The 15,964-nt window shown below is 35.0% G+C and overlaps 1 protein-coding gene across 17 annotated transcripts in view; it reads right to left on the reverse strand.

Moving 5' to 3' along the window:
- Nucleotides 1-15,964, reverse strand: part of CDH18 (cadherin 18) — a 1,104,418-nt gene that overhangs the window by 511,860 nt on the left and 576,594 nt on the right. For 7 of the 17 annotated variants that reach the window (NM_001349561.2, NM_001349560.2, NM_001349559.2 and 4 more), the window contains exon 1: nucleotides 4,931-5,045. The exons of 7 other annotated variants lie outside the window; for them this stretch is intronic. The gene's annotated coding sequence lies outside the window, so the exon portion shown is untranslated. Of the gene's footprint in view, nucleotides 1-1,703; nucleotides 1,715-4,930; nucleotides 5,046-8,717; nucleotides 8,860-15,964 lie in introns of those variants that run through there. 3 more of the 17 variants (NM_001291956.3, NM_001349558.2, XM_017008929.3) reach the window with 2 other exon arrangements.

Consider the following 15,964-nt stretch of genomic DNA (forward strand, 5'->3'; position numbering starts at 1 on the left):
CTGGTAACTGTGGATCTAACCTAGATATTTTTATTTAAAATACTTTTAATATCAGGTAGACTGAAAATAATTGGATCAAATGAAATTATCAGTAATATCTAATTGTGCATAGTTACATATAAGTCATATGTAAGTCATCTGTATTAATCCTAAAGGCCTCAAAATAATGGCAATAAATACCTATTTGAGAATCCTTATGATCATCTAAACATAAAATGAAACAGAAATGATAGTTGAATTCCCTTTCAGTGGAGGCGTCTGCACATCTTCAATTTATTTTACCAACAATTCATCTATCATATTCCATGTGTTTTGAGTAAAATCTTGAATAAGACATAGTCCTGGCATTGAAGGACGTTGATTAAAGCAAATATTTCACTCAATATTTTTAGGGATCAAACTTTGTTCATTTTGTTCTCAGACCTACCAAGAAATTTCTAAATTTATGTGGCTCAACAATGTAGAAATTTATATATCAGAACTTTCTAGTATCCACAAAAGCAACATCTGAGCATGTCAGGGTGCACTAGGGCAAATGCTCCTCTTACACCTGCTCCTACATTTCCTCTCTACCTGCTAATTTTCCCAGAAATAGTTTCCTGGAACGTGTACCACACTTAGAAGTCAAAACACTACCAGCAGTGATAGAGGTTCTTAATTGTTTAACTTGTGTTGGCCTTCTCTTTGTCATTTAAAAAGATTGTAATAAGGGATTATTTAAATAAATAGTATATCTATGCAACCATATGCAATAATCAAAATGCATAATACTAAATATGGTAGGGACACCCACCAATTCAAAGTTCCTTGACTTAATGAGTGACCTGTAAACAAATGGATGTCTTCAACATTGAACTAAGCATCAGACCTATGCCTAATGGCACACTGGACTCATAAAAAAATCATGTATCCTCTCTACTATTCACATGGAAGACAAACATCCTACAAAATTAGTTACATATAATATTATGAAATTGTATTTATTTTATTTAAATATATATTTGTGCACATGGGTTTATGTGACTGTATGCCTCTCTATGTATATCACTATATCTTTCTAAAAATATATAATTTTAGTTGTATATATCCATATTAATCTATTCATTGAAAAATTATTTTTAAAATATACATCAAGCATTAATAATGGTTACTGTTTAAGAGTAAATCTCAAGTCACATTCTATGTTTTATATGTCTACATTTTTATAATAAATTTTAAATGTGGATAATATGAGGAAGGATGGAAATAAGAAAAAAATTGAGGTGTATTCATAATCTTAAATTACATATTTCAAATTTTAGATTTGAAAATATTAGAAATTTAGATGTTCACTTTCATCCATGAAAATAATATAGCAGAGAATATTAACCTTTCTTGTAGATGATTTTTAACCACGCTAGAATAACTGAAAGACTCAGCATGCTTAATCCATTTTAATCAGACAAATCATCAAAGACACTGAATCTATGATAATTTACCAACATTAGTGTAGACCTTTACAAATTGTAAGCCAGTATAAAACCTTGTATATTGGGTTTTTACACCTATTATCATCACCTTTTATGGATAAAGAAAATGGCCTACAGATCAGACACGCATGATGCGTTAATCCATGTCAGTATGCACCCTCTGCCATGTCTTCAAATCATTAAGCTCAGTTCTTTTCCATTGTGCTACACATCAGCACTTGTCTAAAACTGTACCTTTTAAATCAAACTGTTCTCATTTTACTTCTGGAGGCTTTAAACACTAGAAACTACTCCAAGCATATAGAATAACCAGAGTGAATGCTCCCTCCCTACAACCCACACATATACAAACTCCCAAAATATAATAGTAGAAGCAATTATAGAGAAGAACCAGTATCTTTATTTATTTATTATTTATATTAAAGGATCATCTGAAGAAAATTAAAGTGAAATTTGTCTTCAACCTCAACATTTATACTATCTCTCAGTTTTCATTTCCTTTTGTCCCAAAAATGTTAGCATATGATAATATAGCCCTCGTCTCTCAGTTTACTGGCAAGATCTTCCACAGTACTGTGTTAGGGATCTAGTAAAACACCTACCAATTGAAAACCATTCATTATCAAAGCAAAAGGAGGGGATTTATCTGTAGAGCATCCAAACTGGACTGGGCAGTTGCCTACTCAAACAGCATATGCATGAACTTTTTTCTATATACATCCTTTGGTTTGGCTTAGAGCAGTGGTTCCCACTGAGTGGTTCTCAAAATTGCATTGAGAACCACTGCTCAAAATTGCTCTAAGCAGTGGTTCTCAATGTAATTTTGCATCCTCCCCAGGGGATAGTTAACAATGTCTAACAATGTATAGAGAGATTTTTTTATTGACACAAGTTGGAGGTGCTACTACTGGGATCTAGTGGGTAGAGAATAGGTATGCTACTAAGGAGCCTACAATACACAGAAAAGTCCCCCAGGAGAATGATAGAGCTCACAATACCAACAGCACCAAGGTTAAGAAGGCCTAATCTAAAATGCAGTATTATAGATATGTATAATGCAAGTATAATGAAGTCATACAATTAAGCACATGAGGGCCTAAAGTTCTGTACTTAATTAAAAAAAAAAGAAAGACAAAGAACACCATATACATGCTTTGTCTTTAATGTCTCAATCTCTCTCATTCTTCACTAGACTTCACTGTGTCAGATATATGGATTCAAAAGAAGTAAGTTTTTCCTGGTCAATAAGTTCAATATGTTTTATCCTAGCTTGGTTGAAGTGTTACATGCATGTTTAGAGTCTGAAAGACAGTTAAGTCAGGTTGCAGATACTTAAGGTATACTTCTGTGCAATAAGTTAAATACAGAGCTGTTGGGACCCAAAAACTTGCAAACATGTGGTTTGTATTCATCAGACTGCAAAAATCAATGCAAAGCATAATAATGCTATTTATATCAGCCAATGGGACAAAAAGTACTTTATATTTATAGCAGCTTTCATCTAAATAATTTATAAAGTTGGAATAAATGACTCATATATTCTCACAAGTCCACTATATCTATTTGAAATCAGTCATTGAGAGGAATAATAATTTCCAGATTGCACAATGTATGGACTTCATTCTAGCACCGGGTGCTATTGCTCATACTTGTGACTGCTATAGCTAATTATAATCAGTCTGCACTGGATACAGTTACAGCTAGAGTTTCCTGCCACTCACTGTCCTTCTACTATTATATTCTCCTTTGCTATTGGGTTATCTTCAGCTGGGCATTTCTGTTGCATGTATAATAGCCAATGCTCATTTTCTACCTCCCATTGTTTTCAGAGAGGCAATCAATCTTGACCATTGGTATCAGTTCCTTTTTGTTTGTTTGGTTGGTTTTTTAAGTTGGCTATCTCTGAGAAAAAGCATCAGAAGTATAGTTCATAAAATACTCACCAAGGTGCACTAAGTGAATGTCTTCTAGGGGAAGTGCATCAGTTGACCTATACCAGGTCAATTTATTATTAAGATATCCAGAATTAAATAAACAACAGGAGGCTTGAGGGCAACTGCAATCATAATAGGTGATAGCACCAGAGTGTTACACAATGGAACTCATTATCTACGAGTATCACATCCTATCTTCTTCCTCCCACATCCCAACAAGGTATATGTAAGATCTAGGCTGGACCTCAAACTCCTGATTTAGAATTAAGCATTTTCTCTGGTAAGACAAATACACTAAAATAAAAAAGAACAATTATTGCAGGAGCAAAGTCCCCTGCTTTGAAAAATCTGTGGGTGATCCCAGAGTGAAAAATAAAGGTTTGAAAACACAGTCAGAGCCTGTAGTTAGTTTTTTTGGCTGCATAACAAAATCTTCCTCTGATCTGTCTCTCGGCTCAAAGCAGTGATGCCATCACCTGAGCAAACCGAAAACCATAATACTTTTAGCTAAGATTTTTATTTTATTTTTTCTTGACTTCCAACAGGAAAAAAGCAAGGAACATTTATTCTTGACTACAACATTAAATGCAATGAGACATTGAAATAAAAATATTTTAATAGCCCTAGCTAATAAAATTCTATTTTTTCACCTGTTACATATGAGAGGTTTGCCTAGAGCCACATCTGTACAGACAACACACACACACACACACACACACACACACACACACGCATAAGGCATAATTTACCTTGTTTTGCAGACATAAAAATCAAGACAAAATAATAGTTACTTCCACACTAAAACAAGAAGTTAAGAAAAAGAAATGAATGAGAGTTAACAAACATAAATAAAGTGTGTTGCTGATCACAGGAGCCTACCTAATTTCTTTTCATGCATCATTTATAAGTGCCCTTTAAAAGAAGCAAAAGTTTCATCTTAAGCTTTAATAAGCATTTAAGGCAGGGATTCGTGGGAAGAAAAAAAAAAAGAATGAAAGAATATAAATGAGGCTTGTCCTGCTGCAGTTTCAGTGCTCAGAAATCACGTAATTTTAGAGGATACTGGAAAGGCAATAATTAAAAAAAGCACTATCGAAAATTCAATTTCAGTGCCCCTGTTTCTATTCTGACCATGCGTCCCCTCACTTTTACAGATAGACATAAATGACAGCTTATACTGATGCCATCATTATTGCAATGTGCCTTGCAGAGTATTCTTCCAACTTCTTCAGGGAAGACAACAGCACAGGCACAGATAAACATAAACAGACACGCAGCTGGATTCTGAGACTCGCATTCGATAGGCTCTATGGCAGCATTCCTGCATAAGAAAATTCAAATGTATACCAGCGATAAGGCAGCCTGCATTAGCTACAACTTTCCCCTCAGCCCTCGATCCTGTGAAACCCATCGGAGATGAAGATTTCACCCAATATTGCTTTGACTCAGAACTGGGTAAAGCAGCCCCGCTGTACACAAAAATATTCATGTCACTAGAGAGTAAAGTGTCATTTATTGAAGCCTTACCTTGGCGGACTTGCCCTAACTGGTGGAAAGGAACTTAATTTATAAGAAGCAAAGAGAGGGGACTTTCCCAGAGCTCTGGGCACAGCTGCTCGCCGTCCTCGGAAAGCCCAGACTCAGGCTCCGCGCACCTCGAGCCCTGGGCTCCGAGGCTGGGTCTCTGCAGCTCCCGAGCGCGCCTCTGATTGGCTGGCGGCGCCTGTCTGCCTGATGCTGCGCTCTCCCGGTCTCTCCTCCTTCCTCTTCTCCCTGGCTCTCCTCTCCGCGGCTCCTTTCCCTTCTGCCTCCTTCTCCCCCCCAACCCCCCACCGTGCATACTTTTGGGGCTGCACAAATTCCACAGCAAGCAAAACGGACACCCTTTAACCCCCTCAGCAAGGTCATGTAGAAAACAATTCAGCGCATACTACTACTCCTAAATAAAATCCCTGATCCAACGGCATCATCTTGGGTACCAGATTTCTTGAAAAATGACGGCCAGGACTCCGTGACAGTTTAGACCATCAATTCTCTGCGGGGGAGGGGAAACTGGGGAGCGAGAGGGGTTTGACTGTCAGATGGAGTGGGAGTAGCCACCGGGAGGGACCCAGGAAATAAGGCAGGGCAGGCGCTGATGTGGCAAGCTGGTAATAAATTTTCATATTCCCGTGCAAAGTCGTCACAGCCTGCTAAACATTCAACTGCTGGCTCATTCATCAGTGATCCATAGTCCAGTGGTAGCCATGAGATTTCGCTTGAGTGATGTCCTTTAACGCCTTCACCCAAAGTACTCAAGGTATGGAGGGTTTATATCAGACAGAGCTTCCCCTTGGAGGTCAGCATTTATATTTGTGAAGACGAATAGAAGCTGTGATGCTTTTCCAACCCCCTTTGATTGTGCCAGGAAACCTACACACACACAAACTTCTCACCTCTTATCACTCCAGAATAAATTAAATCGATTTGCAATGTACATAGCTTTTGATAACAGGGATTTAAGGTCTGATGGGCTGCATTCAAAATTGATCTGGACAGCTGAAATAACTTTAGTACTTTCTCCCCGCACGAAGTCACCCACACTCACCCATTGAGCACATCAAGCATCCTTATTTAAAGTAAACAAGTGTAGGAGTTTATCTAAATTGAATGACTAGTCTAAGGGCCCCTTGGCAGATATAATAAGAATTGTACAAGACCCTCCATCATTGCAAACACTAAGAGAAAGATATTACTTTTTCTGCTTAGTTGATAAAACTACAAATGCCCAGGTTCAGAATGTTAAAGGAACAAGGACTTAAGACTAAGAGAGGTAGAGTGATAGGGTGTACAAGCTCTAAAGGCAAGAAGACGTGGATTCAAATCACGGCTGGGACATACCTTTACATGTGAACCTGTGTAAGCTTTTACCCTTCTCTGAGCCTCAGGAGGCCACTCTAAAACCTGGAAGGCAATCCTCACTTTAGCAGGTCTCTGTGAAGATTTAAAAAATCTGTATCCTTGTACAAACTTATGATAAACTTTTGTTAAAGGTTGTATAATTTCTAATTACTCCCCTCTTTTCTTCTTCCCTGAGAAAGATCAAAGAGGTTGAAAAGATAAGGTAAGTTGTATTTCTTGGAAGTTTCTTGGGTCTGAGAGTGAATGTTTGAATCGGCTAAAGTTATATTTGACTATTTTGCTTGAGTGATGTGAAATGTGGAAGGATTTAATTTGATTTAGCTTTCGGAAAGACTAAACAAACCAACAGGAGCAATGAGGTAGAACAGGAATTGAATTATTTCTAATTGGGAAGGAATTGCACATTTCAGTGTTCTGTTGCTCTTAAGGAAGATGTTAGAAGTCAATTAGAATTTGGAAATTTCCAAAATTTAAACTTTTAGAAAAAAGTGGAACGGAAACAGCAGCATCAAGATAATATGCCAGTATTATATTGCGCATTATATATTCTTTATTATGCAGCTACTGTTTTAAATGAGGGATTCTCCTTGTGTAGTGTCCAGACACAAATTCTTAATTTATTTTTGTTTATTGAAAGAGGTATGAGAGAATACATTTCCAATCTTTCTATGTTGATGAAGCCCTGAGTGCCCAAAGAAAGAAATAGCTATGAAAAATAAAAGGGATAGAAAAAGAAACTTTAAGTCTGTAAGAGGTCCTATAGTTTAATTGTTAAAATTCACGTTATGACATTCTCTAGAAAACCCTAACTCTGTTTATTTGACTGCCTCTAGTTGAATGAAATAAAATGTTTGTTTGCCAGCTTGCTACTGAAGCAGTGGCTGAGACACAAGCAATGAGCATCTTAGGGATACACTTCAAAACAAAACCTGTTTTTGCTGGCCTTCCTTGGTGGTTTTCCCTGGATAAGACTGTAATAAGTGCATCCAGTGGACAGTCATAATGGAAGTCAACAGGCACTTGCTCCTCAGTGCAACGACATGCAGAGGGAATTGTCAATACTGCCAACCAATACAATCCATTTCTAGAGAAAGAATTCATTCATCAAGGAAGGATTTGTATCTATGAAGCCACACTCTTGGAATAAGGGCTCTAGATTCTCCACAATCCCAATGATGCATACACACTGGGTTTAAATGGCTTCTGGAGTTTGACATTCTGAAACTGTGCCAATTTTCCCTAGCCATTGAAAAGTGGACTTGTCAGCCACTTAGTGCATCTCTTGTATTTTCAGCTCAAAACAAATAAAGAAACACAAAAGAAAAGAAGAAGAAGAAGAAGAAGAAGGAAACAAGTGAACCAATGTGGAATTTGCTGCTAGGGAAAGCCAGGTGGTAGGCAGGTGCTTGTTTTCTCTTTATGTCTAAGATTACTTCAAAAAAGTGGACAGTGTATCAATCACCAGAATTTATTACAGAACTAATCTCTGAAAGTGAAAGCATGGACATTTCTGATACTGAATTCCCACTTGGGTTACCTTGGGAGAGTTATTAGAATCATTTTAGCTGGAGACAGAGACACATCTAACACACGATTGATGCTGGTCAGACTATAGAAACTGGAAAGATAAAATTGTCATGCTAAACTATGATCATTTTCTGAGAGAGAGACTCAGAAAATTGTCTCTTTAGATGGCATCTCATGCTTAATTTTACCCTGAAAATTTAGCAAGTTATGTGATGTTTCCAAACCTGAATAAGGGAGCAATGTAAACAAAATTTAGAGAGAAAACTCTTGTTATAATTCAGTTTTTAGAGCGGTCAACTGCACAAACATGGTGCATTGGCTCATTAACAGCTTTATTGAGATATCATTGGCATAAAAATTATTATATATTTAAGGTATACAACTTGATATTTTGATATGCATATACAATGTGAAATGATCATCTTATAACTAATTAACATATCTATCACCTCTATGTAGTTACTATTTTTGTTTACAAGAATAATATCAAAATATGTGATCTGATTTTTATATAAAGAAAAAGAGCTAGTAAATTATAAAGCAATAGGAAATTTCTCTGCAACTATTTATTTTATGTGTTTGGTTAGCAAGAACTATAGTTTGTGTATTTTTGTTAAAAGAACAAAAGAGAAAACAAATTGATAAAAAAGTGATCTCTATACTATGAAAGATGATCTAATTTAGTTAACCTTTACTCATTCTGTCATCTCTCTTCAGTTTAAGAATTACAGAGTAGGACAGGTGCGGTGGCTCATGCCTGTAATCCCAGCACTTTGGGAGGCCGAGGAGGGCGGATCATGAGGTCAGGAGGTAGAGACCATCCTGGCTAACACAGTGAAACCCCATCTCTACTAACAATAAAAAAATAAAAAAATAAAAAAATTACCCTGGCGTGGTGGCGGGCGCCTGTAGTCCCAGCTACTCAGGAGGCTGAGGCAGGAGAATGGCGTGAACCCAGGAGGTGGAGGTTGCAATGAGCTGAGATTGCGCCACTGCACTCCAGCCTGGGAGACAGAGCGAGATTCCATCTCAAAAAAAAAAAAAAAAAAAAAGAATTGCAGAGTACTGGTAAAACATTAATGCATTAAAATGAAAGACATCTATCAAGAAGGTTTCAAAGATAACCGTATGTGCAATTAATTCTAAAAAGTAGCATATTCCTTACTCATAATAATAATTAGATCCATGTGTTCACTTTTTAGATTTTTCTTCAATGCATGTATAATATCAAAGAACCAATGAGCTTTTCTGGCTCTCATGTGGTAGTATGAATAATTGACAAAGCAAATGGTAAAACTCCTCAATTTCTATTACACACATATTTTATTTCTGTAAAACAGATAATTGTTGTACTACAAATGATGAAATGAGGACACTGAGTTCCAAAATAAGTGAAAATATAATAGATGATGAAGTCTAGCTTTAAGTATTAAAATAGAAAATATAAAGTATATGCCAGACTTAAAAAAAAAAAAAAACAACTGTGGGTAAACTGGGGATTTGTTGAGAATAAAGTAGTGCAGAAAGACTAGAGTTAAGCAAATATTTTCCTAACTTTCAAAATTTAAATGAATATGGATGCTATAAATTAGAAATTATTGAACTAAATGTGGAAAGTGGAAAAGGTATAAGATGACTTATTAAAGCGATGAACAGACTGCTAGAGGAGAAAACAGTGGGACCACCTGGGTTTGCATTACATTCACAAATAAGTCATTCCAGAAAAATGTCATTTCTTTCTATTCCGGACATGCAAGACTGGAAATAGAAAAAAAAAAGTATATGATTTCTACATCATCATCATCGTAGCCCTCATGATTTCGTTATAGCCCACATGGAGAATTTTAAGTACAATTTTTGGGTGTTGCTACTACAATTTTTGAGTGTTGGGTGTTTAAGTACAACTTTTGGGTGTTGCTACAATTTTTGGGTGTTGCTGTAGTAAGCAACTACCTAAGCATGTTTAAAAATGTCAAAAGTGCTTACTCAAGGAAGGTTTCCAATAGATAGCTGTAGAGCTCCAACTCCAAACCTGCCCTGAAACTGGCTTTTATCAATACCATTAACACCAAAATCATTCATGAAGAAATTGTCCCTTAACAGAGCCAGTATATTTGGATGAAGAACTACAAATTTCATAAAGGATCTTGAAAAACTTGGGTGACATCTCAAATATAATGAAGTAGAAATTCCATAGCTGTATCCCCAAGTATGAATGTATTAAATATATGGTAGTGGGGACAGACTTAGAACCAAAACCTGTGAATATGATTTAGATATTTCTACAGACAATAATTTCAGTAAAAATCAATTATATGACACAGTTATCAAAAGTGTAAATATAAATTTAGACATCCTTAATAATAGCAAAGCACCACAATGAATGTGGTGCTATTACTATCTCTGCACTATTAAAGATGAATTACAAAAATATTGAGAACTTATTTGGAATATTGTATTTTAAGATTATAGCTAATTCGTTTGGTTTTAATTAATGTATATTTTTGTTAGCCTCACCAGATTGCATTCATTCAGTTGACAAAGCTGATACCATCTCTAACTCCTCTATTTTCCTCACCACTTGAACTACACCTATTCCTTGCTTTTTCTGTAGCACACACATATACACACATATAGATATATACACATATATATAGAGATAAATAGATATTATACATAGATATACCTCTATATATCTTTTCTGTGTACACACACATATACACGCATATAGATAGACAAATATATAGATATCGATATATAGATAATAGATATATAGATATACCTCTCTATCTATCCTCTTAGTTCTGTTTCCCTGGAGAACCCTGACTGATACAATAGGTAATGTTATGGCCATTTTACTGATGAAGATATTCGGCTCATATATTTACGTAAATTTTCATGTTTGTTTAGTTCCAGATACTGTGCCCTTAATTATTATGCCACGCTTCCTCTAACTATAACACAAGTTGCTAAAATGGCATATTGGCAGACTATTAAAAGTATTTTTTAGCCTAAAAAATTAGAGACTAGTTAAACCTGTTGGAGAAAATGCTTTCTGAGAGGAGGTATTCTTTGAGCTGTATTCTTTGTTCTGAATCTTGAAAGAGGAATAAAGCAGAGGTGGCTACAGAAAAAGCAAGGAATGGGTATGGTTCAAGTGGTGACAAAACGGTATCAGCTTTGTCAACTGAATGAATGCAATCTGGTGGGGTGTATATCTATATGTGTGTATATGTGCATACATGTATATACACACACATATACACATATATACACATATATGTATACATATATACACATATATGTATACATATATACACATATATGTATACATATATACATATATTTATACACCTCTCTATCCCCTTAGTTCGATTTTTCTGGAGAATCCTGACTGATATAATAAGTAATGTTGTTAATAACTTTCTCTATCATTGAACATTAATGTCATCCCAAGTTTTTGATATAAACAATGCTTTAATGAACATCTCCGTTTATAAATTTTTCCTGGGTCTCTGACTATGGAACTTGAAAAGGCTACTGAAATTGAAACTACTCAGTAAAATATATGAATGTTTCTCAAAACTCATGATTACTTTATTGCTTCCCAACACCACTAGTGAGGAGTAAAAGATTAATTAGTTCCTCACTACCCTCTAGCAATAACATTTTTTGCTTTTCTCAGTCTACCAAGTCAAATGCTAACCTCTTCCAGTATATATATATATATATATATATATATATATATATATAGAGAGAGAGAGAGAGAGAGAGAGAGAGAGAGAGAGAGAGAGAGAGAGAGAGAGATGTACATGTGTGTCTCTGTGTGTATATATAAAGAGAATATATATATATATATATATATATATAGAGAGAGAGAGAGAGAGAGAGATGTAGAAAAAGATATATAGAGAAAAAGCTCATGCAATTACGGAGGCTAAGAGGTCCCATGATCTGCGCCTGCAAGCTGGAGGCCTAGGAAAGCTGCTGGTGTATTTCCAGTCCAAACGTGAAGGCTTGAGCACCAATGCTCAAGGACAGGAAAAGATATTCCAGCTCAAGCAGAAAGCAAATTTGTCCTTTCCTCTTCCTTTTTATTCTACTCAGGCACTCAATGGATTGGATGATGCACACCCACATTGACAAGGGTAGTCTACCATGGTTAATGCTAAGGTCTTCCAGAAATACCCTTGGACACACTTTGAAGTACTGTTTTACCAGCTATCTAAGCATCACTTAGCCCAGTCACATTGAAACATATAATAAACCATCACGCCTATTTCTAGGTTTCCTAGGAAAATTAAATATGCATAGAAAACTATCAGGCATATAGTAAAATGTATATAAACTTGTTTTTTTATCATTATATATTTGCATATCTGTTTCTTAATTGAATGCAAGCTACAAATGTGTATCTGGTACAATAAATGTCTTAATGCAGCTAGGTAAAATATACATAACTCAAGACTGGCATTGGAAGACATAGAGTCAAGCCATACGTTGACCACTCATATTAAATATAGAGTTGTTGAACCAGGTTGTTTTACTGTCTGAACATACTACCTCACTTTTAGACTAGGATACTACCCTCATCTGATAGAGCTGTTGCAAGCTTTAAAAAAAAAAAAAAAAAAAAACTTTAAGCATGCCAAAAGGTCTAGTATAGTCTTTGGCATAACAAAGACTTGGATAATGGCTAGCTAAATCCCAGTTGTAAGTGCTCAGTAAATGTGTACTACTATTATAAATCACATTTGCTTCCTGTGCTTCCCTTATAGCAGAAAGAGGCAAGTCACAAATAAACAAAATCTTACCTGGAAGCTTTTCATTAAAAGAGAAACTACACCTTCCATAGAATATCCTGGGGATAGTACTCACACAGTTCAACCTCCCATATCTGCATTTAACATTTTGGCGCTATGTAATGAAAATTGACATTTAGAAGATCCTGAGGCATTTTAAGATTCTTAACCACCAAAGAAATATATTGCACTCAGGACACAATATTTACAGTACCAGTAAAGAGGCAAATGTTCAAAATCATTTTAATGACTTTTGTTCACAAAAAAGGGTTATTTTATTAATATTCAATGAATCAGAACTTAAGGTTGACCAAATCATTGATCTTTTCAGAACGATATTCAATTTACCAATGTGCATTTATGCCCATTCACTAAAGTATAGTAATATATAGTAACTCAAAATTACTGTTTTCCTTAGGAACATCTTATGAGAGACTTTGAAAAATGATGCATATATTGTGCCTCTTAACATTTAATATATCAGATTTTTCTGTCACTAGAAGTTCTTATGCAATATTTTCAGTAAATTATCAGCATTATATTCTACAGTGTACATGTTTTGGATTTTCTCTATTACTGAATATTAATGTCGTTCCCAAGTTTTTGATATAAACAATGATTTAATGAACATCACAGTTTATAAATCTTTCCTGGGTCTTTGACTATGGCATTTGAAAAGATTACTGAAATTGAAACTACTAAGTAAAATATATGAATATTTCTTGAAACTCATGATTACTTTACTGGTTCCCAACACCATTAGTGAAGTGTAAAAGGTTAAATAGTTCCTCACTACCTTCTAACAATACCATTTTCTTCTATTTGCTTATTCAATAGTTGAAAATTAATACCTCATTGTTTTAATTTCTGTTCATGTGGTTACTAGAATGTTTATTGATCATTTTCTTGTCTTCCTTTCATAATTTCTGTTCATATCCATTTCTCTATCATGTTATTGCTAATTGGGAAATAAAATGGATTTAAATTGTCTTAATGCTCAGTCAGGGGATACACTAGAAAATTCTGAAATTTCTATTGTTTTTTCTTACACATTACCAAAACAATATGGGTCTCTGTGAACATAAATATATATACATACATACATGAATATATGTACACCTGACTAGATTTATTCAGAAAATACAAACAGAATATCAGCTAACAAAGCAATGATCTAGGTTTTGTAGAGGGATATAAAGAAGCTAAGAAACTAGAAAGAAGTTACTAAAATGAAATGCAATACCATAAATTCCATAAGCTATGTAAGGATAATGTCCCTTATATATTAAAAAATAATTACTTTCAATGAGTTGATAAAGCATTGTTGGGATAGGTAGAATTTGAGGTAGGTTTTAAATAATAAAGACACCTAAAATAGAAACTGATGAATGGAAAAACTTTTAAAACAAAATAAAATATTTTAAAAAGCAAGTATCTCTCTAGAGACCTATGCATCAGAATCTCCAAAGAATGTGGCCCTAGCTATTTAAATTTAAAAATAGTTCCACAGAATATTCTGGATGGCTGTACACTGTTATAGCACATATCATATTTATGATATGTTTTGATTGACTTTTATACTCTCTCTTAAGATCCCCAAAGCAGACTTACTATAGAACTCAGGCATTTCTGAGAAGATGAATAAAATGGAATACAACATTTACAAAATTCAACCTCCTTTTCTGGGCCATTGCCGGACAATCTCAAGCATTAATTACTCCTGTATCTAGGCTTCCAGTATCACTTTGTTTTCATTCATACCTAGGTACTCAGCAGAGAGTAACATAATGTGTCCATAATCATATCCTTATGCCGAGGTAAACTCTAAAGTCTTTGAGAACCAACAGAAAGTATACTTTAAAGTTTTCTATCCCAGCATTTGCTTCAACTGATTGCAGGTCAACCTAAGTGCAAGGTTTATGGACTGCAACAATGGTAAGCTATAGCCTATACCTCAAGAAGCTTATAATACAGTGGAGGATGCATAAATGTCAACATTTCACCATAATGCAATACTATCATAAAGGCACGCATAGGGTGTCATGAAAGTTTCTTAATTCATCTTGAGTAGGTAGAGAAAGTTTCCTAGAAGAGCTAAGTTGGACAATAAAGAGATATTACTCTAAAATGACAGGAAGAAGGCAGAGAGCATGACAGGGTGTTTAAAGATGTTCATAAAACCTTGTATACAAAAAGAAAGTCAGGTAGAAGCAGGCTGGAAACATGAAATGGAAAATCAGGGCAAAGTGACCATGCAGAAGTTATATTTGTGTTAGGGGCCTTGGACTACATTAAATTGGTGATTTAAACCAGGATAATGAAATGGTAATATTTGATTTCACAACTAGGTCTCTGCCCCGCTGGCAAAGTGGCCAAGCTTAGGGGAGTAAAATTCAATACATGGGGACCAGTTTAGAAGTTATCCAGAATAATCTAGAATGTTATTACGAGTTTATTGGCTACATAAGTTTTGTTAGAGAAACAAGTATGAAGACGGGCTAAACTATTTTAAAATAATAAAAAATTAAAATAGGATGACTTTGGTTATTGACTTTGGAAATGGATGGGTGTGATGAGCAAGGGACAATTCCAGGCTGTTCTCATTAATCTGGCTAGAGCATTTGTATCGTCAGGGAGGGCACTGTCAGAGGAGGACTAGTTTGAAGGAAGGAGATAATAAATTGATTTGAGGTCACATTGACTTTGATAGGACCATTAGATATCAACAAATTATTGTCCTGTTGGTTGTTTCATGCTAAGAGAACAATTCAGAGTTCAACATAAAATTTGAGGAGACATTTATATATAATTGTTCAATATCTGTTTTTCATGGATTTTTTTCAAGGATGGCAGAAAGAAGGACAGAACCCTAAACAGTATTAGTATTGTAGTGTGAGTTAAGGGGGAGAATCCTTTCAAGTGGAAAATAAGCAGTCATAGATGCAAGACAAAAAATACGAGTTTAGGGTCACAAAATTAATGAAATAGAGGAGGCTGCCAAGCTTAGATAAATGAATCATATTAACTTTGGTAGCATAAGAAGTGAACTCTCATGTTAAGTTTGGCTATTTGTAACACTGGAATTGGCAGTCAAGAAATTGGTGGCAAAAGAAGACAGCCTGGCAGTAAATGAAAAAAATACAGAACAAGGTGGAATTATTTTTCAATAAAGGAAGAAGAGAATCGTAAAATTGAAACAAAGCATCATGGAATTCAAGAAAGAAATGTTAAATTATTATTATCATTGTTTGAATGGAAGATAATTTACCTAGTTAAAGAGAAAGTTAACTATAAAAGATAATAAGGTGCTAAGGAAAAAGAGAAAAAGTAA

Source organism: Homo sapiens, chromosome 5 (genome assembly GCF_000001405.40).
Source record: "Homo sapiens chromosome 5, GRCh38.p14 Primary Assembly".
NCBI lineage: Eukaryota > Metazoa > Chordata > Mammalia > Primates > Hominidae > Homo > Homo sapiens.